Source organism: Homo sapiens, chromosome 4 (assembly GCF_000001405.40).
Source record: "Homo sapiens chromosome 4, GRCh38.p14 Primary Assembly".
NCBI classification, from domain to species: Eukaryota; Metazoa; Chordata; class Mammalia; order Primates; family Hominidae; genus Homo; species Homo sapiens.
Window position 1 is genome coordinate 88,520,737 of NC_000004.12, and position 25,295 is coordinate 88,546,031.

General features: G+C 40.6%; 3 protein-coding genes, 1 long non-coding RNA gene and 1 pseudogene across 6 annotated transcripts in view, besides 1 other annotated feature; 3 read left to right on the forward strand and 2 right to left on the reverse strand.

The window, feature by feature from the left end:
• Positions 262 to 3,040, reverse strand: PYURF (PIGY upstream open reading frame). Its single transcript, NM_032906.5, has 2 exons — positions 2,762 to 3,040; positions 262 to 1,293 (listed from the first exon to the last, which is right to left on the reverse strand). Exons 1-2 carry the CDS (start codon positions 2,962 to 2,964, stop codon positions 1,152 to 1,154), a joined length of 345 nt encoding a protein of 114 aa, NP_116295.1. The 5' UTR covers positions 2,965 to 3,040; the 3' UTR covers positions 262 to 1,151.
• Positions 262 to 3,040, reverse strand: PIGY (phosphatidylinositol glycan anchor biosynthesis class Y). The gene is made up of 2 exons (NM_001042616.3): positions 2,762 to 3,040; positions 262 to 1,293 (listed from the first exon to the last, which is right to left on the reverse strand). Exon 2 carries the CDS (start codon positions 1,051 to 1,053, stop codon positions 838 to 840), a length of 216 nt encoding a protein of 71 aa, NP_001036081.1. The 5' UTR covers positions 1,054 to 1,293; positions 2,762 to 3,040; the 3' UTR covers positions 262 to 837.
• Positions 2,338 to 2,397: an enhancer, noted in NCBI's record as "active region_21716". NCBI's record gives its function as "activates an Ori minimal core promoter by ATAC-STARR-seq in GM12878 lymphoblastoid cells {active_cell/tissue: GM12878}" and the evidence as "EXISTENCE:reporter gene assay evidence [ECO:0000049][PMID:35858748]".
• Positions 3,074 to 4,255, forward strand: PIGY-DT (PIGY divergent transcript). 2 transcript variants are annotated; one of them, NR_134662.1, is made up of 2 exons: positions 3,074 to 3,196; positions 4,020 to 4,255. It is a non-coding gene; the product is annotated as a PIGY divergent transcript (long non-coding RNA). The 2 variants fall into 2 exon arrangements; NR_134663.1 differs by having other exon boundaries at positions 4,029 to 4,255.
• The window catches only part of HERC3 (HECT and RLD domain containing E3 ubiquitin protein ligase 3), a 184,697-nt gene continuing 162,508 nt past the window's right edge, over positions 3,107 to 25,295 (forward strand). For both annotated transcript variants that reach the window (NM_001375483.1, NM_001375482.1), the window contains exon 1: positions 3,107 to 3,196. The gene's annotated coding sequence lies outside the window, so the exon portion shown is untranslated. The remainder of the gene's footprint in view (positions 3,197 to 25,295) is intronic.
• LOC100129137 (CD53 molecule pseudogene) lies at positions 6,826 to 7,431 on the forward strand (annotated as a pseudogene).

Sequence of the window (25,295 nt, forward strand, 5' to 3'; positions counted from 1 at the left end):
GTGTCAATGCTCATGCCCTTAGTGGTGTTATTCGGCATCCTGGGAAAATAAACTGAAATGTGGCTCAAATATGGCTCTAAGCTCAACAGGGTACAATCCACTACTTGCAAGTCTTCCCACCCCTCACTTTCCCAGGAAATGATTCTGTTTTGGGTATTAAGTACCTCTCTAAACACAACTACATTTAGTGCAGTTTTACAACTTCCCTTAGTATCATTAACACTTCTGTGACCAAACAAACAAACGACTACTGCAAACTGGTTTATTTTTTATAGGAAAGTGTCAACATGTTTATTGCTAATATAAGCATTTAATGTCAAAGAAATGAAGGTAATTTTACAAACTCAGTTTTTGTAAGTACATGAAGTTTCTATTTGATTATGTGGTTTTATATCACATTCGTTCAAATGCATTTCTCTCCCTTAGAGGGACTATTCCAACATCACTCCTTTGGAATTATTTCAGTCATCCTTAACATGTGACTTTACCAAAGACCTTGAAGCTAAACAAACAAGCAAAACAAAATTTCAATGACTCTTAGATGAATGGAATAAGAAATAGTCATCACATGTCAATTAGGGATGTTCATCTCCAACCAAGACACTGTCAAAATGTTTCTTCTGATACAGCAGTTATAAGTCAGAGCCTTCAAAAAACAAGGGCAGAACAAGAGTACAATAAAAGAAGCATCTGCAACTTAAGCCTCCCACAGTCCTAAGCCTGATATGCGCAAAGCAAAGCCTCTTTCCCGCAAACTAAATTCCATCCATTTGAGCTTTCAGAGATCGATGCCCAAGAGCTATCATTAATATATACAGCATATTGACTCTAGTTGCATCAATTATGCCTGAAGAGTTTAATACCCATCCAAGTCCAAAGGTGGAAGAATACATACACTGGTATGGTAATAGGCAAGAGCAGGCTGTAAAAGCAAAGGCTGGCTGTGCTAGTGCAGCCCTGTGGGAAGTTTTCTTCCACAGAGGCTGAGTAGAACAGTCCTGCTAAAGAAACCAGTGGAATAAGAACAGTCAACGTAGGAAGAGACAGAAACATTCTTCTCTTCCACTTATTACCTGCCACTGTGTTTTAAAAGGTATATGGTATTAAGAAAAGTTGGCTGTTGCGTTTTTTTAATTTTTTTAAATTATGAACTAGCGCTGCTCCACTTCTTCTTGCTTCTTACTTTGACGTGTCATCCTAGCTGCCTGTGGTATCATATTAGGGATCCCATCAATGATTGGATAAGCTATTCCCAACTCTTCATTAATCAATTCGTTTGTTGATGCTTCATATCTGAGGTGGAAAAAAAAAGAACAAAATGAGTTGTGGGAAAATAAAATGCTTGAAGAGCCTGATTTTCAACAAATACCACCATTTATCCAATTTTTGGTACGGAGTTAATCCCAGAATAGTCTTCTTTAATTCTAAAAGCAACAATAGCCAATTCAACCTTTTATCTTAGAAAAATTCTCTTACAATCTATAATTATTCCCATTTTAGTAGTTTCTCTCATATTCTCTTTTTCACCTTATTCACAAGTTATTCCTTAATTTTTTTTCATACTAGTCAGAAAAGATCCCCCTCTCTTATCCAAATATTCCTTCATTACTTTGGTCAACCCCCAAACCATCCCTGTTAATTTACTACTGGAATAAACACTAGAGAAAAATCAACTTCTTCATTTTAGAATAAATGCTAAGTAGAGAAACTTAACTAATCCATTAGAAGGAAATCACTGGAAAAGGTGAGAGGGCAGAAATGAAGAAACTTTCGAAAGCACTAAGTCTGCAGTGAGCTAGTTATAAACGTAAATCAAATGATAATTTCAAGGTTCGAGAAAATTGAATAATATGTTTATTACGGGAAAAAGAAATACGAAAAATTGCTAGCAATCTACCATTCAAAGATAACCACTGATAACATTTTGGTGTTTATGCGATTTGTAATACTAGCGTTAGTGTTGTCAATATTCAATTTTGGTAGCTTGGAAACTGTAGAGCTGTCTTCCCAAAAACTAGTTAAAGAGGCTTCTACGAAACCTGCTAGGCCACAACTAAGAGCCACTGGGCAGCAAACACAGCTGAATTGCTTAAGATTGTCAGGCACCAGTTGTACAAGACACTTTCACAAGAATCTGGAGGGTACAACAATACTTTTCATTATCTTGGCTTAAAAACCGGAAGGCTTCGGACTTGTCCTGAATCGCAGTGGTTCATAAACCTGGTGGTACATTAGAAATCATTTAGGGACCGTTTAAGAACACAGATAAGCTGGGCGTGGGGGCGGCGCCTGTCTCTCGACTCCTGAGGAGGCTGAGGCGGGAGTTCTAGGCCAGTCTGGGCAACGTAGGGGGCACCCTGTCTCTTAAAAGGAAAAAAAAAAAGGAAAAGAAAATACAAATGTTCAGGTCCCATCCCGCGAGCATTCCAAGTCTGCCCGTCTTGGGGGCTGTCGGGGAATCGGCATTTTTAAAACGGTCCCCGGGTGATTGCAATGCGCAGCCGGTCGCGAACCCTAAAACGCTTCGAGCCATTCCCGCAGGCTGGCGTTGCGTTCTGGGAGATGTGGGACGCAGCTCCCCTGGCCTCCGGTCTCCCCCGTCCTGCCCGCTGTGCGCCCGGCGAGGACAGAGTCCAGAATGTGGCAGCGGAGAGTACCTGACCGACCTACAAGGCCCCAGTGGCTGCAAGAGGCCGCGGTCCACCGCTCCCTTTCCGCCCACCGGGAGGCTGCAAAGGAAGGGCCAAGGCCAGCGAGTTACCTGAGCGGCTTCTTGGAGAGCGGGCACACCAGGAACTCCAGCAGCGCCGGATCGAAGTCGCGGGGCGGCTCCTCAGTCTTCTTGCCCCGGTCGGCCAAAGGCCGCGACCCCGACGCGTGCAGGCACCTACGGGCGACCGCGGACGGCGGCGCGCGCGTTCCCCGCAGCGCTGAGGCGAGCCTGCAGCGTGCTCCACTCAGCATGGTCTGGCAGCCGGAGACCAGGCCTCACCGCAGCCTCGCCACCCGTGGCCGAGCTCCCGGCTTCCCGTTCGTCCAGGCCAGCCGGGCAGGCCCCGCCCCCTGGTCCTCCAGGAAACGCTGCCGAGGAGTAGGCGGGGCGGGCGCTTTGGTTCCGAGGGTGCTTCTGCTCCGACTGCTTTTCCCACGGGCGTCATCTATAGTCCGGAGGACAGCCCCAGGGCAGAGGCCTCTGGTGAGTGCCCCGCCGCCTTACCAGACTACAAACTAAACCAGTGTTTAAGTCAAGGTGTCTGGGTTTTCACCGGGGCCTGTCCAAGGATGCTAGGAAGCCAGTGGCCAGGCCTCAGAGTTGTAGGGAGTTAGGCTTGGACCTACGTGGTTACCTCCAAGTGAAGTTTCAAACACACTGTTATGTATTGTACCGAATGTATTGTCATGGATGTATTGAAAGCGCTCATTTGTTTCATGTACATCTTTACTATACCATTAGTTTCTGTAACCTTGTTTGGCTTTTTTCTCTCTCATTAAAAAAAGTGAGAACCTGGAAGGAAGGGCCTAGGCCTCTGACCCTCCAAAATATATAAATTCTTCCTGCCTGAGACCCAGTCATTGTGAAGTATTTGCGTAATAAAGCACAGCTAATTTACTTCTATAAATGAGCTTGGAGGCCGCAAGGGGCCTAAATAGCTGTGTAACAGGCAGATGTGATCTGCCTGTTAAAGATCCATTCAATGAGTGGGTGATCCATTCAGTGAATTTGTATCCCAGGTTTGCTTCCCACTCTCCAAGAAAGTGACCATGTTAGATCTCTTTCTTACAGTGTAGTAGATGGGAACTTGGGCTCTGGGGCCTGACAGCTTGGTTCCCTGTCCACAATTAGTAGCTGGATGACTTTGGCAAATGACTTAACTGCTCATTTTCCTTATCTGTATAAGACTAATAATTGTACCTACCTTGTAGGTAGGGCATAAATGTGATTGTGCATTCGAAGAACATTTAGAAAAGTGCCTGGCACAAATTAATGCTCCATTAATGTTGTCTATTTTTATTTTTAGTTCATCTAGTTTTTCCATGTCCGAAGACTCAAAGATTCTCATTAGTCATCCATTTTTTCCCTCCGTTCTGCTGAATATCAACCTGAACTTTTTTTTTGCATCACTGGGCATTATCATTTCACACTTTGAGTTCCTGGAGCTGGAAGTACAGAATCCAAAAATATGTTTATATTTTCAAATTTCTCTTCCACTCCAATGTAAAAATAAACTGACAAATGTTTATATGTTCATCCTAATTTTTTGTTTGTTTTTTGGGCCATCCTGTTTTTTTTAAAAAAAACAGTTTATTTTTTGATGTTCTTTGTTCACTAATGCTCAGAAGATTTTCTAAGGTTAATGTAGTTTATAGGATACCAAAAAGGAAACACTTCTACTGGATAGATATTTAAGAGATAATGAAAGTCTCTGGTTGCCTCACCTTCCTTCCCTCACAAAGCAATCTTTCACAGTCATAACTTTCCGTTATTAGAGTTACTAACGGACTAGAGAATAGGGCAGTTATCGGGACATACCCTCAAGGGAAACTACTGTAAAGTTCCTATGTCACCTTCACACTATTTCCGACTAGGGCAGTAGCAGGAATTAATTTTTCAGTTGAAGTCAGTTGATACTTTGGGCTCAAGGGAAGGGGTGAGCTGTAGGAAAGATAAGTTTCTGCTTAAGGAGAAACAGCGCTTGACTTCTGCAAGCGCTGAGTGGGCCCAACCCTTGGCGCTTGTTGGGTAGGGGAAGGCACCCATGCTTAAGCCTCAGCTAGCTTGGCTGACAGATCTCTATCAACTGGGTTTTCTAACCAGTTATAAATAAATTAGTTTCAGTTTGCCTCCACATAGAGGGTTTGAGGCAGTTCAGTTTACTTTATTTAGGGGAAGAATAGAGAGTAACAGCAAAGTATTGAAAACATCCTCAAATTTATAACACCAGAAATCAACAACCAATATTTAAGGAACATATGAATGTATGACTATCACCATGTGTGTATTAAGTTGCAACATATCAAAGCAATATGTCCCTAAATAGCCCTTAGTAATGAAGAAATACAATTCATTTCTGCCTGTAGTATACTAAGCTAAATGTAGATGATAGGATAGGATCATGGGACTGGAACTGGTCTTTTAAAAGTTAGTCCCTTTTCACTATTCACATGACTGACCTTTCGTGTCACATAGGCCTGTGCACAATAACCTGATGGTTTCTGGGCTCAGATACAATATAGCTGTGTGATCTTGGAGAAGCTACTTAAGTTCTCACCCTCAACCTTCTCACTTGTGAAATACAATAATAATAGTATGTAACTTACAGTGTTTGAACAGACTAAATAAAACAATTCAAGTAAAACAGCACAGGGGCTAACACATTTAAAGAATGTTTAGCAATAAAATTATTTATTATGGTGAAACTAGTAAACATTCTGATGGAAAGGGAAAGCACAAGGTACTTCTGGGACACTCTTTTTAACTGAAATGGAATTTTTCTAATTTCCAATATGGATACTATTGAAACACAATTCTTGGATTATCACACACATGAAGTTAGAAATCTCTAGGCAGAAGAGGGGCTGGACTATGTATTTTAACAGAGCCTGTCAATTCCAAATTTGGGGGCATTGAAATTTGTGAACCTGCAATCCAAAGAAATGAGTCAAAATAAATTTTCCACTAGATGGCATCATTTAGTATTTGAACTAACATTTATCTCTGCTTGATCTTTTCTTTCTGTGATTACAAAGACTTACTTTCATTTTGCCAATTGTTTCTTAGTTTGACAACACTTATTTTTTATTTTTATTTTATTTTCTTGAGACAGATTCTCTCTGTGTCATCCAGGCTGGAGTACAGTGGTGCAGTCGTGACTCACTGCAGCCTTGACCTCCCAGACTCAAGCAATCCTGGCATGTCAGCCTCCAGGTAGCTGGGAATACAGGTGCATGCCACCACACCCAGCTAATTTTTGTATTTTTTGTAGAGATGGTGTTTCATGTTGCCCAGGCTGGTCTGGAACTCCTGAGCTCAAGCAGTCCACCCACCTTGGCCTCCCAAAGTGCTAGGATTACAGGCATAAGCCACTGTGCCCAGCCCAACATTTATTTTAAAAACAAAAATCATAAAAGTCCTATTAATAAATTTTAATGATGAGTTTATTAAAATCAAGTTTCCAATAGATAAATGGACAAAATATTTGAAAAGAAAAATTCGCAAAAAAGAAAATACAGTTGGTCAATAAACATATTAAAAAATTATCCTCAATAGTAAAGTAGTAATGCTAGTTTCAAACATCAAAGGAGTTTTGAAATAACTCTAGACATGAATGTTACCAGCCTTGTTTTGGCCATCTGAAGGATAATCACAAATTCTGTCTGAAGGGCTGAGGACTAGTGCCTGCAAAAGGACCAGAATATCCCAGCATGGGCACAAGTAGCTTGAAATTATGGAAGTATGTCCTGTCTTTCTTTCTTTTCTTTCTTTCTTTCTTACTCTCTCTCACTTTCTCTCTTTCTTTCTTTTTTTTTTTTTTGAGACAGGATCTTGCTCTATCTCCCAGGCTGGAGTGCAGTGGCTCCATCATAGCTGACTGCAGCCTTCACCTTCTGAGCTCAAACAATCCTCCCACCTCAGCTTCCTGAGTAGCTGGGACCATAGGCACACACATGCACCACCACACCTGGCTAATTTCTAAAATTTTTTTTGTAAAGTCAGGGTCTCACTATGTTGCCCAGGCTGGTCTTGAACTCCTGGGCTCAAGTGATCCTCCCGCCTCAGCCTCCCAAAGTCCTGGGATTACAGGCGTGAGCTACCACGCACAGCCCAACTTGCTCTTTTGGTTCTGTGGCTGCTGCAGTTATGGGGATGTACCCGCTGATCCACAACAGTTTGGGAGTGCTCTTCCATAAGCTCCCCTCCCTCATGCCGGGCAATGTGCTTGTCATCGTGGTCTCCATTATCACGGTGGTTGCCTTCCTGGGCTGCATAGGTTCTGTCAAGAAAAACAGGTGCCTGCTTATGTCCTTGTTCATTCTGCTGCCGGTTATCCTCCTTGCTGAGGTGATCTTGGCCATCCTGCACTTTGTTTACGAACGGAAGCTGAATGTATAGGTAGCTGAGGGCCTGACGGACAGCATCTACCATTACCACTGGGACAACAGCACCAAGGCGATGTGGGACTCCATCCAGTCATTTCTGCACTGCTGTGGCGTAAATGGCATGAGTGATTGGTCCAGCGGATAGCAAGCATCTTGCCCCTCAGATCCAAAAGTGAAAGGTTGCTATGCAAAAGCGAGACTGTAGTTTCACGCCAATTTCCTGTATATCAGAATCATCACCATCTGTGTATATGTGCAATCCAGGTGGTGAGGATGTCCTTTGCACTGACCCCAAACAGCCAGATTGATAAAACCAGTCAGGCCCTGGGGGTGTGACCTGCAACTGCCCTGTGCTGGGGAGACTCGTTTCATCTTTGGAAATCCAAAACCATTTATAGCACGAAGTTCTAAATGGTCACCTGCTGGACTGCCTGTCCTCCTCCCAACCCTTTGCTTTTTGGGTCGCTGTCTTATACAGCCAGAAAATAAGGTGTTGGCTAGGGACTTTCCATCTCAGGCAGCAAGACAACCTTTCACCTACTGATGGCAGCAGCCACGTCTCTCAAGGTGGTAACAGTAATACTTGGACATTTTTTTAGACATGAAAGGCCAAGAGAAACTGTGGAACTAATGGCTCAAGATCAAAGAGTGGGCCCAGGATATGAAGTTTTTAACCTTCCCATTGTCAAATTAGTCTCTGGCCTCTGTGTCATGCCCAGTCTGCTCTCCAAAGTCAAGCAAGAGACAAGCTGAAGAGGGTCCTAGGTCCAGGCTCATGGGACCATTGTCACAACCCTGTTTCTCTTTGACGAAGAGTGGTGGCTATAGGAATTACAGAGTGCTCTTTCTCCAAAGGGCAAGGTTTCATTTCCATTTCTTTATTAAGGGCCTCATCAATTTATTCTGTCTTTCCACAAAAAATTATCCAGTGATTTATATCCTGACTTCAACCAGTTACTTAGTTGATAATCACATGCACAAGACTTCCGGTGTTATTTCTCTATCAGCTAAGGTTTTGTTAATTTACTATTTTGCTCTTCGATAAATAAAAGTGATCTTAATTTTTTAAAAAATCAAAGAAGTTTCCATTTCTCATCTATCAAAATAGTAAATATTTTAAAAATGTAATTCTTAATGTTTATGAATAAATGAATAAAGTATTAATTTATTAATTTATTGAATGTCCACTATGTGGCAGGCATGCACCATTATTCAGATTTAAAAATAAAAACTCATAACAACACAGAAAATTATAATAAGTGAAAAACAAGCAGGACACAAAAATGTATGCACAATGATTATATTTTTAAACCCAGAACATCGGCATAGGGGCAAAAAACAAATAACAACCAAAATGTTGGTTGAGTGCTGTGGCTTACACCTGTAATCCTGCACGAGGCAGGAGGATTGCTTGAGGCCAGGAGTTCAAGACCAGACTGAGCAACTTAGCAAGACTCCATTTCTACAAAAAATAAAAAAGTTGGCTATGGCAGTGCCTGCAAGTACTAGCTACTCAGGAGGCTGAGGAAGGAGGATCACTTGGGCCTAGGAGTTCGAGGTTACAGTAAGGTATGATGGCACCACTGCACTCTAGCCTAGGAGACAGAGCAAGACCCTGTCTCTAAAAAATAAAAAAACAGGCCAGGCGCAGTGGCTCATACCCGTAATCCCAGCACTTTGGGAGGCCAAGGCCGGTGGATCACGAGGTCAGGAGTTCAAGACCAGCCTGGCCAAGATGGTGAAACCCCGTCTCTACTAAAAATAGAAAAATTAGCCAGGCGTGGTGGCAGGCGCCAGTAATCCCAGTTACTCGGGAGGCTGAGGCAGGAGAATCGCTTGAAACCAGATGGCAGAGGCTGCAGTGAGCTGAGATCACACCACTGCACTCTAGCCTGGGCAATAGAGAGAGACTATGTCTCAAAAAAAAAAAAAATGTTGGTTCTCTTTAGCTGGTTGAAATATTGCTGAATTGTTCTTTAAATGTTTCTCTGTTTAAAATTTTTTATTTAATAAAGTAGTTTTAAAATATAAACATTACCAGTTCATAATTGATAAAAGAATACTTTATTTCAAAACTATTGATTCGGTTCAGTAAATATTGATCACTTCCTGTGTTCTCAGATTATATTAGGAGGTGGAAAGGAGGGGTATAAAGGCATATAAGATGCTATTCCAGCTGAGTGTGGTGGCTCACGCCTGTAATCCAGCACTTTGGGAGGCTGAGGCAGGCGGATCACCTGAGGAGTTCAAGACCATCCTGGCCTGGCCAACATGGTGAAACCCTGTCTCTGTTAAAAGTACAAAACATTACCTTGGTGTGGTGGCAGTGCCTATAATCCCAGCTACTCAGGAGGCTGAGGCAAGAGAATTGCTTGAACCAGGGACGTGGAGGTTGCAGTGAGCCAAGATCGTGCCACTGCACTCCAGCCTAGGTGACAGAGTGAGATTCCGTCTCCAAAAGAAAAAAAAAAAAGCTATCCCTATTTTCAAGATGTTTATAATCTTAAGTGGAATAAACAGCACAGGATAAAGTTAAATAGAAAATTCAGGTTTACATATAATGCATTCTTTCGTGTATTCATTCAACATTTGTTGAACTTATACTGTATATGAGGCTCACAAAGAAGGCTGTGCCTAAGGCCTAAGGAGGGCTTAGGGGAGTGTCAGTATAGGTCTTATAGCCGTAAGAAATTATTTACTGAGACCTCAGGGGACACCCATTTTATCTCCTTTCCTCATTTTTTAATCCACAAAAACAATTTTAACTTTGCAAGTAGAATATAAAAGTTTGCTAGGCAGAGATGAGTATGATGAGCCATCAATACTATACTACAGCTCAGGTAAGAGTGAATAATGTGGACTTGAGTAAATATTGTAGGGCTGCATATTAATATACATTTTAAATGGCTTCTGTGTATAACATTTCAAAACTGATCACGAAAATGGCCAGGTTTGAGCTTAAGCCTAAAAGTTCAACATAATTAAGATATCAATATATGGAAAGAGGAATAGTATTTTATTTTTATTCTTTTTGAGACAGAGTCTTGCTCTGTTGCCCAGGCTAGAGTGCAGTGGTGCGATTTCAGCTCACTGCAACCTCTACCTCCCAGGTTCAAGTGATTCTCCTGGCCTCAGCTTCCCAAGCAGCTGGGACCACAGGTGTGTACCACCACATCACGCCTGGCTAATTTTTTTGTATTTTTAATGGAGATGGGGTTTTGCCATGTTGGGCAGGCTGGTCTTGAACTCCTGGCCTCAGGCGATCTGCCCTCCTCAGCCTCCCAAAGTGCTGGGATTATAGGCGTGACCCACCATGCCTGGCAGGAATAGTATTTTTAAAAATTTTTTAAATTTTTAAAATTTAAAATTTTTTTAAAATTTTTTAATTTAAATTAAATTGTTGTTGTGCTATGTTGCCCAGGTTAGTTGAACTGGCCTCAAGCTGTCCTCCCCCCTCAGCCTCCCAGAGTTCTGGGATTACAGGCATGAGCCACCGTGCACAGCCAATAGTATTTCTTAATGGGAGTCATCACCACTATTTTGTTCTTTAAAATATCCTATTCATACATATTTTGAAATATAAACTTTAAAAATAAGCGTTCACTAAAACTATAAATATATCACAAGAAAATATCCAGATAAGCAACTCCACATGATATTAATTTGTCTATTTAGAACAAATGAAATCAATAAAAAATTTGCAGTTCTTTCCAACTCTGCTTGAAATCTGTGGCAGCTGTTGCTCTCTCAACCTCCATCTGAAGATGAGCTGTTGCTCTCTCAACCCTCCTATTTGAAGAAGTTGGAAAACGAACAAGTACATTTTCCAGACTCCTTTATAGATAGGGTTCTGGCTATGAAATAGACTCTGCCAGCTAGATACACACACGTGAAATTTGAAAGGGAGGCAGAGATGAGCTTCCTGCAGCAGGGAGAGTTGACACGCAGGTTCTGACAGACACAGGATTTGCATGGGTTAGATGAATGCTGCACTCTCTAGATGCAAGGGGCAGTGTCTTCTTAGCACAGGGCAGCTGTGGCAGCCACAGCAGTGGTTGCAGTAACAGTTTCTTCTGGGTCACAGCTATTAGAGCATTAGCTTAACACCAAAACTCCAGAAGCAGCCCCCTGTTTCTGCTTTTCCAGCCATTTTAATGAATTTATAAACACATAGTTCTGTATATTAAATTCCTATATACTGGAAATTCCTAGAACAATTTCTTTTTCCTACACTGAACCCTGACTGGTCAACTACCCCAGAGTGTAGATGTGATCATAAAATATGTAAATCACTTAGAATAGTGATTAATATATAGTAAAGAATAGTGGCCTGAAACACTATATAGATATCTATATAGATATATTTATAAAACAGGAGATTTATTACAGGAATTGACTTACACAATTACGGAGGCCTGGAAGTCCCATAATCTGCCCTCTGCAAGCTGGAAAACCAGCGGGAGAAAGCTGGTGATATAACTCAGTCCAAGTCCAAAGGCCTGAGAACCACGGGAGCCAACAGTGTAGGTCCAGATCAGAGCTCAAAGGCTCTAGAACCCAGCACCAGTATCTGAGGGCAGGGGAGTATATATGGCTGTCCCAGCTCAAATGAGAAGCAAATGCACCCTTCCTCCACCTTTTTATTCTATTCAGGCTCTCATAGGATTGGATGATGTCCATTCACATAAGTGAGTGCAGATCTTCTTTACTCAACCTATAAATTAAAATCCTAATCTCTTCCAGAAACACCCTCACAGATACAAACACAAATAATGTGTTACCAGCTAACTAGGCATCCCTCAGCTCAGTCAAGATGTCACATAAAACTAACCATCACATTGGCCCATTATAATAGAAAATAAAAGGTCCTGATCAGAATTACTAAAAAGAATGAAGAGTAGAAGTACTAACAAGTACTCAGGAAAACAATCATCCTCTGGACGTAGAGTTGTAATATTTAGGAAAACAATGTGGGGAATTTTCTTTTTGCAAGGGTTCAAGGGAGAGCTTGAGGAAGAGGCAAGATAACTTACCTCTTGTACTAATCCCATATGTATTAGAGTTCTCTAGAGGGACAGAACTAATAGGATAGATGAATATACGAAACGGACTTTATTAAGGAGAATTGACTCACACGGTCACCAGGTGAAGTCCCACAGCAGGCCATCTGCAAGCTGAAGAGCAAGGAAGCCAGTCTGAGTCCCAAAACCTCAAAAGTAGGGAAGCCGACAGCGCAGCCTTCAGCCTGTGGCCGAAGGCCGGAGAATCCCTGGCGATCCACTGATGTATGTCCAAGAGTCCAAAAGCTGAAGAATTTGGGGCCTGATGTTTGAGGGCAGGAAGCATCCAGCATGGGAGAAAGATGAAGGCCAGAAAACTCAGCAGGTCTGCTCATTCCACCTTCTTCTGCCTGCTTTATTCTGCCCACGCTGGCAGGTGATTGGATGGTGCCCACCCACATTGAGGATGAGTCTGCGTCTCCCAGTCCACTGACTGAAATGTTAATCTCCTTTGGCAACACCCTCACAGACACACCCAGGAACAATACTCTGTATCCTTCAATCCAATCAAGTTGACACATTATTAACCATCACACCATGGAAAATTCTGATTTTATAAATAAAATTGAAGGGATAAAAGGAGGCAAAACGATGTCACCTGAGACCTATGTGAGTAATTTGATGCTACTCATACTACTATCCCCTGCCCTTTCTCAAGGTTTTCCTTGTCATGATGCAGACTAGCTTGGAAGGGGACCGGTGAGAAACAGCATGCCAAAAGCCTTTGTAATTTCTCTTTCACATCTGGCTGTTCACCATTTCTTACAATTTGTTTCTTCATAAGTCTTCTGGCTTTCAGCACTTTGATCTTAATAGTCATGATTCTAATCTAGGCCTCAATGATTTAAAGTTGTGGCTAACTTCATACATAGTCCTAATTTCTTTATCTCTACTTTTCTAACATTTTTCCCTTTAAAATCCCAATAATAAAACTTTCTTCTTTATCGTTCTTACTGGCAACTTTGTTCAAAATTTCACAAAAAGAAAAGTTATTTATGCTTGGTTTTAAAGTGCTATGTACCTTCACTATCACCCAGGTTTCTTAGCTTCTATCTTTTTTTACTCCCTTCCTCCCTCTTTCTACCTCCCATTCCTCCTTCTTCTCCACTGCCCTCCTGCTAATGGATAAATATGATCCATATCATCTGACAGTGCTTTTCAAACTTGAATATGCATATGAGTCACCTGGGAATCTTGTTAAAATGCAAATTCTGACTCATTATGACTAGGATCATACTGAATAGGAGGCTTGAAATCTTTTCTTAACAGCTTCCGGATGCTGCTGCTGAATCGCAGACCACACTTTTAGTAGCAAGACTCCAGAACACTGGTTTTTCAACTGGAATGATTTTGAACCCCAGGAATATTTGGCAATGTGTGGATGTATTTTTGATGGTTACAACTGGGGTGGTGCTCCTGGGCAGAGGCCAGGGATGCCACCAAGCATCTTACCATGCACAGGACAGCCCCTCACGACAAAGAATTAACTGGCCCAAAATGTCAACAGTGACCAGGCTGAGGAATCCTGCTCTAGAATGATTTTAAACACTATAATTACCCAGTGGCATCTTCTATTAGTCTAACAGTTTTGTTTTTTTTTTCCTAGAAAAAAACTTTCCAGTCCTCTTCCCTCTACTTAGTCAGTTCCTGTGACTAAAAGGATCTCATACTGCAAGGCTTTTTTTCCCCAAACGTCTACCATTTCCTTTTCCAATTTATTAAATGAAAGTTATGAATGGAATTTTTCATGGCATTAACATGATTTTAAAAGCCTCATGCTCTCAGAAAAAAATAAAAAATTAAGACAGCAAGTTTACAGCTTTGAAATGTGTGATTCTATATGGCTTTTTTATTATCCAGGTTTAAGCTAGTGCATTATGGTACCTTTGAAAACAACTGAAGTAATTCTCAAAATAATAATCAATAGGTGTTTTACTTTGTGTGTGTTTTCAATGACTGTTCAGGTTGTAGCCATCAAATAGTCCATAGTGTAAAAGGAAATGAACCTCCAAAAGAAGTATTTTTTTGTATTCAGATGAAGAAGATGGGGATATTGTAAAAGCTCTTTTATTACAGAAAGCTGTGTTTTCCATAGTTGAAGAGAGTCAGGAATTTGACAACTTTAACTTGATTTGACTCTCCAGTGATGTAGCTAACACAAGAGTTATTGCATATGAAAAAAATAGATAATTTTTACCAGAATCATGGCTAGATGAAAGTAAATTGAGTCCTGAGTATTTTTATTGAAACTATGGTCACAATTCCAAGTTTTTGAAAGTCTGCTTTTCCTAGTTTTCTAAGCCTGTCAGGCATCTTTGACTGACTCAGAGACCAACCTTGAACTTACACCTGGCCTGCCAGCACCTAGGGCACTGCCCTGGGATTCCCACTCTGCCCTGCTTTCTTCTTGATTTCATTGCAATGGAAAATACGACTAAATATTTCAGTAGTTTGAGTTTGGTCTAGTCATTAGGGACATTTTATTTTAATGTAAAGATCTTACTGAAAAGTACTTTAGTCACCAACTTAGAGAATTCATAAACTGAAAAATGTTATATAAGGTGACTAAATCAGAATGATCTTCTTAAATTTACTATCCACTCACCTACACTTCCCCAGAAAACTCTCCTTGTTCTGTATTGAACTTAGTAAATGATACCACCATCTTCTGAGTCACCTGGGCTGAGGTCTGAAGTCATGATGGACTTCATCTTTTCACCTCCCACATCCAATCACATGATGAAGGGCATCCCAAGGCAGGAGGACAGGAGCAAGTGTGTCAGCTCAGGTCTCTCTTCCTCTGCTTATAAAGCCACCAGTCCCATCATGGGGGTCCCACACGAATGACCTCATCTAATCCCAATTACCTCTCAAAGGCCCCACCTCCAACCAACAGATGAATTTGGCACTTAAGTTTCCAATACAAGACATTTGGAGGACATATTCAAACCACAGCACTCCTGAAATCTCTTACAGAAATATTACAGAGTAGAAATAATGCAAATGTTTCTTATGTCATAATGTAAGATAGAAAGATGGGAGTGCATCCAATTCTTGGTTCCATTTCCTTATTACAATAAACACAAATCATCTCATGGGGCTAGGATGACCTACCTCAATGCACCTTGCTTTGCATGTAATAGTTTAACAAATTAGTTATTCACTGATGCACTCAAGTGGCCAAAAGCTCCCAGATGATTTCCCTAGGTTTGTGCAAAAGCTTCTGGCATAGTGGCTTATGAGGCCCTCCAGCAACTGGCCCCAGACTGTCTCCAGCATATTCTCTCACTGTGGCCACTTCTCATCTTGAATTCAGCCATTCTGAACTATTTGTTGTCCCCATAATAGCCTGTTTCATAGCTCCATGTCTTTTGTTCATGCCATTTCTTCTGCCCAGAATATCTTTACTCCATTGTCCCTCTAAACCACTACTCAGCTTTTAAGACCCAATTCAAACACAGACACTTTTATGAAGATTTTTCTAACTCCTTCCTTCTCCCTGCTTCCTGGGAATTGACCATCAATCCCTTGTATACAACAGTAAACTACCCTACCCCGACACATACTCACTCACTCACTCACTCTTATTATAACATTTATTACTTCTTTACAAGTATTCTTTTATATGTCTGTCTCCTGTACTAATCTAGAAGATCCTTTAGGTCACATACCATGTGTATTTTATTTCTTTATCCCTAAATCTAGCACAGTGGCTGGCACATAGTATATGTTTAATAAACACTTGTAAAATGAATGTAATATGTCTAGTACCAAATGTTGTTCCTCTTAACTTGCCAATAGAAAAAAATATTACACAGTTACAGAATCTGCTTGTAATTTAGCTACCTGTGAAAAGAAAAGCACAATGAATTTTTTTTCAATTTAGAGAAATTCAAAACATATAAACTCTTTCCCAATCTGATTATAATTTTGAGTAATATGTTAGGGTGGAGGTGCTAGAAGGAGTACTCTATCAGAGCTGTCTTCTAAATTATTTTCTGCCTGGGATTATATATTTTTAAAACACACACTAAAGTTATAAAAATACGACCAAGAATTCTTATATACTTTCACCTGGATTTCTTAAATTAACAGATTTCTGTAGCTAGATTTTAAAAAACTGACAGCAACTTGCAGACATGAGGTTCATTTACACTTTAACACTTCAAAACAAAATGAAAACCAAAACAAAATATATTCTCTTACATCACCACAGGACAATTATCAAAATCAGAAAATTAATATTTATACAATATTACTGTATAATTTATGAATTTAAATTTCACCATTTGTTCCCTTAATGTATTTTTATAGCAAAAGGAAAAGGATTTCTGGTCCAAGATCCAATCCAGGATGAGACATGACTTTTAGTCATCACGTCTCATTCATCTCTTGTAATCTGAAACAGTTCATTGGTCTTTTTTTGTCTTTCATGACCTTGATGTTTTGAGGCATTATGGGAAGTTTACTTGCAGCAAGTCTATTCCTCAATTTGGATGTGTCTGATATTTCTTCATGATTAGATTCAGGTAATATATATTTTTAAGTTACACATTTTTTGCCAGGATACCACAGAAGTAACACTGTGTCATTTTTAGTGCATCCTACCAAGAATTATTACTGGTTATGCTAACTCTGATCATTTGATTAAAGTGGTCCGTTTAAGTTGTCACTACTGTAAATTACTGTTTTCCTCTATGTAATCAATAAGTAGCATACAGGGATGAGGTTATATTGAAGGCTAAACAAAAGAGAGACCAAGTGTTCCTCTGTGTTCTAAATAGAAATTGTTTAGCTGTGTTATTTGGCCTTCTTAGAGATTACATATAAAAATCAAAAGACTTTAAAATGGTGATCTTCTGACATTTTTAGTGCTTTAGCTGCAAAATTATTTATAAAAACAAGATGTAGCTCTGAAATCCATAGCACTGAATATTAAAGCCTTAAGTAAATGGGAGATCTGCATTTAGCAGCCCCTCAGGGATGAAGCTCGAATAGCAGCAGAACTGTTGTTTCTGTGACACTGTGCATTTGGCTCACAGCTAGATCACTTGTCAAAAACCTTCTGACAGGAAGATAATGTCCTATGTTATTAGCCATACTTTACAATCAAAAATAGGTTTATGTTGGTGTTAAATCTGTGAGTCCTTACTCTCAGCCTCTTTGTTTGACCCACATATTCTTTAAGGGAGAACTATATTGAAATGGTACAGGTGAATCAATGGATATTTACTTGTTTTCTGGAGTTAGAAATCTAACACAATAAATGGGAGGTTCTTAAACTATTCTTTCAAATGGTTTTGCATCGCAGTAAAGGAACCATGCAGTTTGGAGTACAACATTTCCTTCTCTCACTAGATTCAGTTGCTAAAGACCTCTTTCACACTGCAATGCTCTTTGAGATGACACTGTACACCATGGAGTATCGTGGCAATAGCTGCCTATTAGTTTGCTAGGCCTGCTATAACAAAGTACCACAGACTGGATGGCTTGAACAACAGAATTTGTTTTCTGACAATTCTTGAGGCTAGGTATCAACGTGTTGGCAGGTTTGGTTTCTTCTAAGCCTCTCTCCTTGGCTTATAGATGGCTGTCTCTCTGTTGACTTCACATGGTCATCTCTCTGTACATGTCTGTGTCCCAATTTCCTCTTTTTTTTTTTTTTTTTTGACGAAGTCTCGCTCTGTCACCCAGGCTGGAGTGCAGTGGTGCGATCTCCGCTCACTGCAAGCTCTGCCTCCTGGGTTCACGCTATTCTCCTGCCTCAGCCTCCCGAGTAGCTGGGACTACAGGTGCACGCCACCATGCCTAGCTAATTTTTTGTATTTTTAGTAGAGATGGGGTTTCACCGTGTTAGCCAGGATGGTCTTGATCTCCTGACCTCGTGATCTGCCCGCCTCGGCCTCCCAAAGTGCTGGGATTACAGGCGTGAGCCACCATGCCCGGCCCAATTTCCTCTTTTTATAAGACATCTGTCATATTGAATCAGGATCCACCCACCATAACCTCATTTTACTGTCATTTCATACCTCTTTAAAAGTCCTATCTCCACTTGCTTCCAAGATGGCCAAATAGGAACAGATCCAGTCTGCAACTCCCAGTGTGATTGATGCAGAAGACAGGTGATTTCTGCATTTCCAACTGAGATACCTGGTTCATCTCATTGGGACTGGTTGGGCAGTGGGTGCAACACACAGAGGGCGAGCCAAAGCAGTGTGGGGCATCGCCTCACCTGGGAAGCGCAAGGTGTCAGGGGATTTCCCTTTCCTAGCCAAGGGAAGCCATGACAGACTGTACCTGGAAAAACAGTACACTCTCGCCCAAATACTGTGCTTTTCCCATGGTCTTAGCAACCGGCAGACCAGGAGATTCCCTCCCGTGCCTGGCTCTGCGGGTCCCATGCCCACAGAGCCTTGCTCACTGCTAGCACAGCAGTCTGAAATCAACCTGCGAGGCTGCAGCCTCGGGGGGAGAGGGGCATCCACTATTGCTGAGGCTTGAGTAGGTAAACAAAGCAGCCAGGAAGCTTGAACTGGGCAGAGCCCACTGCAGCTCAGCAAGGCCTACCACCTCTATAGACTCCACCTCTGTGGGCAGGGCATAGCTGAACAAAAGGCAGCAGACAAGTTCTGCAGACTTAAACGTCCCTGTCTGACAGCTCTGAAGAGAGCAGTGGCACGGCGTTTGAGCTCTGAGAATGGACAGACTGCCTCCTCAAGTGGGTCCCTGACTCTTGTGTTGCCTGACTGGGAGACACCTCCCAGTAGGGGGCGACAGACACCTCATACAGGCAGGTGACCCTCTGGGACGAAGCTTCCAGAGGAAGGATCAGGCAGCAATATTTGCTGTTCTGCAATATTTCCTGTTCTGCAGCTTCCGCTGGTGATACCCAGGAAAACAGGGTCTGGAGTGAACCTCCAGCAAACTCCAACAGAACTATAGCTGAGGGCCCTGACTGTTAGAAGGAAAAACTAACAAACAGAAAGGAATAGCATCAACATCAACAAAAAGGACATCCACACCAAAACTCTATCTGTAGGTCACCAACAACAAAGACCAAAGGTAGATAAAACCACAAAAATGGGGAGAAACCAGAGCAGAAAAGCTGAAAATTCTAAAAACCAGAGCACCTCTTCTCCTCCAAAGGATCGCAGCTTCTTGCCAGCAACAGAACAAAACTGGACAGAGAATGACTTTGATGAGTTGACAGAAGTAGGCTTCAGAAGATTGGTAATAACAAACTTCTCTGAGCTAAAAGAGCATGTTCTAACCCATCACAAGGAGGTTAAAAATCTTGAAAAAAGGTTAGACGAATGGCTAACTAGAATAAACAGTGTAGTGTAGAGAAGACCTTAAATGACCTGATGGAGCTGAAAACCACAGTGCGAGAACTTCGTGACACACACAACAAGCTTCAATAGCCAATTTGATCAAGTGGAAGAAAAGATATCAGTGATTGAAGATCAAATTAATGAAATAAAGTGAGAAGACAAGTTTAGAGAAAAAAAGTAGAAAGAAATGAACAAAGCATCCGAGAAATATGGGACTATGTGAAAAGACCAAATCTACGTTTGACTGGTGTACCTGAAAGTGACAGGGAGAATGGAACCAAGTTAGAAAACACTCTTCAGGATATTATCAAGGAGAACTTCCCTCACCTAGGAAGGCAGGCCAGCATTCAAATTCAGAAAATACAGAGAACACCACAAAGATACTCCTTGAGAAGAGCAACCCCAAGACACATAATTGTCAGATTCACCAAGGTTGAAATGAAGGAAAAAATGTTAAGGGCAGCCAGAGAGAAAGGTCGGGTTACCCACAAGGGAAGCCCATCAGACTAACAGCAGATCTCTCGGCAGAAACTCTATAAGCCAGAAGAGAGTGGGAGCCAATATTCAACATTCTTAAAAAAATTTTCAATCCAGAATTTCATATCCAGCCAAACTAAGCTTCATAAGTGAAGGAGAAATAAAATACTTTATAGACAAGAAAAAGGCTGAGAGATTTTGTCCCCACCAGGCCTGCCTTACAAGAGCTCCTGAAGGAAGCACTAAATATCGAAAGGAACAACCAGTACCAGCCACTGCAAAAACATGCCAAATTGTAAAGACCATCAATACTAGGAAGAAACTGCATCAATTAATGAGCAAAATAACCAGCTAACATCATAATGACAGGATCAAATTCACACATAACAATATTAACCTTAAATGTAAATGGGCTAAATGCCCCAATTAAGATACAGACTGGCAAATTGGATAAACAGTCAATACCCATCAGTGTGCTGTATTCAGGAGACCTATCTCACGTGCAGAGACACACATAGGCTCAAAATAATGGGATGGAGGAAGATCTATCAACCAAATGGAAAGCAAAAAAAAAGCAGAGGTTGCAACCCTAGTCTCGGATAAAAGAGACTTTAAACCAACAAAGATCAAAAGAGACAAATAAGGCCATTACAAAATGGTATAGGGATCAATTCAACAAGAAGAGCTAACTATCCTAAATATATATGTACCTAATACAGGAGCACCCAGATTCATAAAGCAAGTCCTTAGAGACCTACAAAGAGACTTAGACTCCCACACAATAACAATGGGAGACTTTAACACCCCACTGTCAATATTAGACAGATCAGCAAGACAGAAGGTTAACAAGGATATTCAGGACTTGAACTCAGCTCTGCAACAAGCAGGCCTAATAGACATCTACAGAACTCTCCACAGTTCTGAAGTCAACAGAATATACATTCTTCTCAGCACCACATCGCACTTATTCTAAAATTGACCACATAATTGGAAGTAAAACACTCCTCAGCAAAAGTAAAAGAACAGAAATCACAACAAACTGTCTCTCAGACCACAGTGAAATCAAATTAGAACTCAGGATTAAGAAACTCACTTAAAACCGCACAACTACATGGAAACTGAACAACCTGCTCCTGAATGACTACTGGGTAAATAACAAAATGAAGGCAGAAATAAAGATGTTCTTTGAAACCAATGAGAACAAAGACACAACATACCAGAATCTCTGGGACACATTTAAAGCAGTGTGTGGAGGGAAATTTATACCACTAAGTGCCCACAGGAGAAAGCAGGAAAGATCTAAAATTGACACCCTAATATCACAATTAAAAGAACTAGAGAAGCAAGAGCAAACACATTCAAAAGCTAGCAGAAGGCAAGAAATAACTAAGATTGGAGCAGAACTGAAGGAGATAGAGACACAAAAAACCCTTCAAAAAATCAATCCAGGAGCTAGTTTTTTGGAAAAATCAGCAAAATAGATAGACATTAGCAAGATTAATAAAGAATAAAAGAGAGAAGAATCAAATAGATGCAATAAAAAATGATAAAGGGGATATCACCACCAATCCCACAGAAATACAAACTACCATCAGATAATACTATAAACACCTCTACACAAATAAACTAGAAAATCTACGAGAAATGGATACATTCCTGGACACATACACCCTCCCAAGACTAAACCAGGAAGAAGTTGAATCTCTGAATAGACCAATAACAGGTTCTGAAATTGAGGCAATAATTAATAACAACCAAAAAAAGTCCAGGACCAGATGGATTCACAGCCGAATTGTACCAGAGGTACAAAGAGGAGCTGGTACCATTCCTTCTGAAACTATTCCAATCAATAGAAACAAAGGGAATCCTCTGTAACTCATTTTATGAGGCCAGCATCATCCTGATACCAAAGCATGGCAGAGACACAACCAAAAAAGAGAATTTTACACCAATATTGCTGATGAACATCAATGTGAAAATCCTCAATAAAATACTGTGAAACCAAATCCAGCAGCACAGCAAAAAGCTTATCCACCATGATCAACTTGGCTTCATCCCTGGGATGCAAGGCTGGTTCAACACATGCCAATCAATAAACGTAATCCAGCACATAAACAGAACAAACGACAGAAACCACACAATTTTCTCTATAGTTGCAGAAAAGGCCTTTGACAAAATCCAACAGCCCTTCATGCTGAAAACTCTAGATAAACTAGGTATTGATGGGACGTATCTCAAAATAATAAGAGCTATTTATGACAAACCCACAGCCAATATCATACTGAATGGGCAAAAACTGGAGGCATTCCCTTTGAAAACTGTCACAAGACAAGGGTGCCCTCTCTCACCACTCCTATTCAACATAGTGTTGGAAGTTCTGGCCAGGGCAATTAGGCAAGAGAAAGAAATAAAGGGTATTCAATTAGGAAAAGAGAAAGTCAAATTGTCCCTGTTTGCAAATGACATGATTGTAAATTTAGAAGATCCCCTCATCTCAGCCCAAAATCTCCTTAAGCTGATAAGCAACTTCAGCAAAGTCTCAAGATACAAAATCAATGTGCAAATATCACAAGCATTCCTATACACCAAGAACAGACAGAGAGCCAAATCATGAGTGAACTCACATTCATAATTGCTACACAGAGAATAAAATACCTCGGAATCAAACTTACAAGGGATGTGAAGGACCTCTTCAAGGAGAACTACAAACCACTGCTCAACGAAATAAAAGAGGACACAAACGAATGGAAGAACATTCCTTGCTCATGGACAGGAAGAATCAATATCATGAAAATGGTCATACTGCCCATGGTAATTTATAGATTCAATGCCATCCCCATCAAGCTACCAATGACTTTCTTCACAGAATTGGAAAAAACTACTTTAAAGTTCATATGGAACCAAAAAAGAGCCTGCATTGCCAAGTCAATCCTAAGCCAAAAGAACAAAGCTGGAGGCATCACACTACCTGACTTCAAACTATACTACGAAACAGCATGGTACTGGCACCAAAACAGATATATAGACCAATGGAACAGAACAGGGGCCTCAGAAATAACACCACACATCTACAACCATCTGATCTTTGACAAACCTGACAAAAACAAGAAATGGGGGAAGGATTCCCTATTTAATAAATGGCGTTGGGAAAACTGGCTAGCCATATGCAGAAAGCTGAAACTGGATCCCTTCCTTACACCTTATACAAAAATTAACTCAAGATGGATTAAAGACTTAAATGTAAGATCTAAAACCATAAAAACCCTAGAAGAAAACCTAGGCAATACCATTCAGGACATAGGCATGGGCAAAGACTTCATGACTAAAACACCAAAAGCAATGGCAACAGAAGCCAAAATAGACAAATGGGATCTAATTAAACTAAAGAGCTTCTGCACAGCAAAAGTAACTCTCATCAGAGTGAACAGGCAACCTACAGAATGGGAGAAAATTTTTGCAGTCTATCCATCTGACAAAGGTCTAATATCCAGAATCTACAAGGAATGAAAACAAATTTACAAGAAAAAACCAAACAACCCCTTCAAAAAGTGGACGAAGAATATGAACAGACACTTCTCAAAAGAAGACATTTGTGCAGCCAATAAACATGAAAAAAAGCTCATAATCACTGGTCATTAGAGAAATGCAAATCAAAACCACAATGAGATATCATCTCACACCAGTTAGAATGGCTATTATTAAAAAGTCAGGAAACAACAGATGCTGGAGAGGATGTGGAGAAATAGGAACACTTTTACACTGTTGGTGGGAGAGTAAATTCATTCAACCATTGTGGAAGGCAGCATGGAGATTCCTCAAGGATCTAGAAGTAGAAATATCATTTGACCCAGCGATCCCATTACTGGGTATATACTCAAAGCATTATAAATCATGCTACTATAAAGACACGTGCACACGTATGTTTATTGCGGCACTATTCACAATAGCAAAGACTTGGAACCAACCCAATTGTCCATCAATGATAGACTGGATTAAGAAAATGTGGCACATATACACCATGGAATACTATGCAGCCATAAAAAGGATGAGTTCATGTCCTTTGCAGGGACATAGATGAAGCTGGAAACCATCATTCTCAGCTAACTATCACAGGGACATGTTCTCACTCATGTGTGAGAATTGAACAATGAGAACACGTGGACACAGGGCAGGGAGCATCACACACTGGGGCCTGTTGTGGGGTGGGATGCTGGGGGAGGGATAGCATTAGGAGAAATACCTAATGTAAATGACGAGTTGATGGGTGCAGCAAACCAACATGGCGCATGTATACCTATGTAACAAACCTGCATGTTGTGCACACGTACCCTAGAACTTAAAGTATAATAATAAAAAAATCCTGTCTCCAAACATTCACACTCTGAGGCACTGGGGGTTAGGACTTCAACATATGCATGGTAAGGGGGACACAGTCCTGTCCATATCACCACTCTTCCAGTCCTACTGGCTTGGTATAAAACGTTTCTCTTTCACATTACATGCCTGCATCAAAACATCTCATGTACCCCAGCCATAAATATATGCACCTACTCTGTGCCCACAGAAATTAAAAATAACATTTTTTTCTAAATAAAATAAAAAATTTTTGGTTATTCTACCAACTTTACAAGGACTTAAAGGGAGCTATCATACACTCCTCATGAGACTTTACAACACATATTTAAATTTGTGTAATTATTTAAAGGAAATCTTTCCTTTTGAGAATTCTTTTTTTTTTTTTTTTTTTTTAGATAGGGTCTTGCTCTGTCACCCACGCCAAAGTGCAGTGGCGCAGTCATGGCTTATTGCAGCCTCACCCTCTTGGACTCGAGTGATCCTACCACTTCAGCATTTCGAGAATTCTTAATGATTAGGGAATTATGTATGAGAATTTTTTTTCTTTTTTAGAGACAGGATCTCGCTATGTTGCTCAGGCTGGTCTCAAACTCCTGGGCTCAAAGGATCTTCCTACCTCAACCTCCCAAATAGCTGGGACTAAAGGTGTGCACCACCATGCCTGGTTTCATTTTTAAAGTAATGATGGCTCTAAGAAAAATATCTATTTTCTCTTTTCATATGCTTGAAGAGAACTCAACTTTAAAGAGCTTTTAAATCTGAACTTAAAAAAAATTATTCAGGAATAATTCTAAACTAAAATCCAGTGCAAAATTATCCTAATATGCAGATGTAATCATTCAAGTGCTCTATATTTCCAACCTCCTTAATAGTGGTATAAATGTGAATCTCAACCAAATATTTAAGAAGAGACTTCATTGCTCTTTAGGGAAAAAAATCACTTATTAATAGTATAGATTAGGTATACTACACT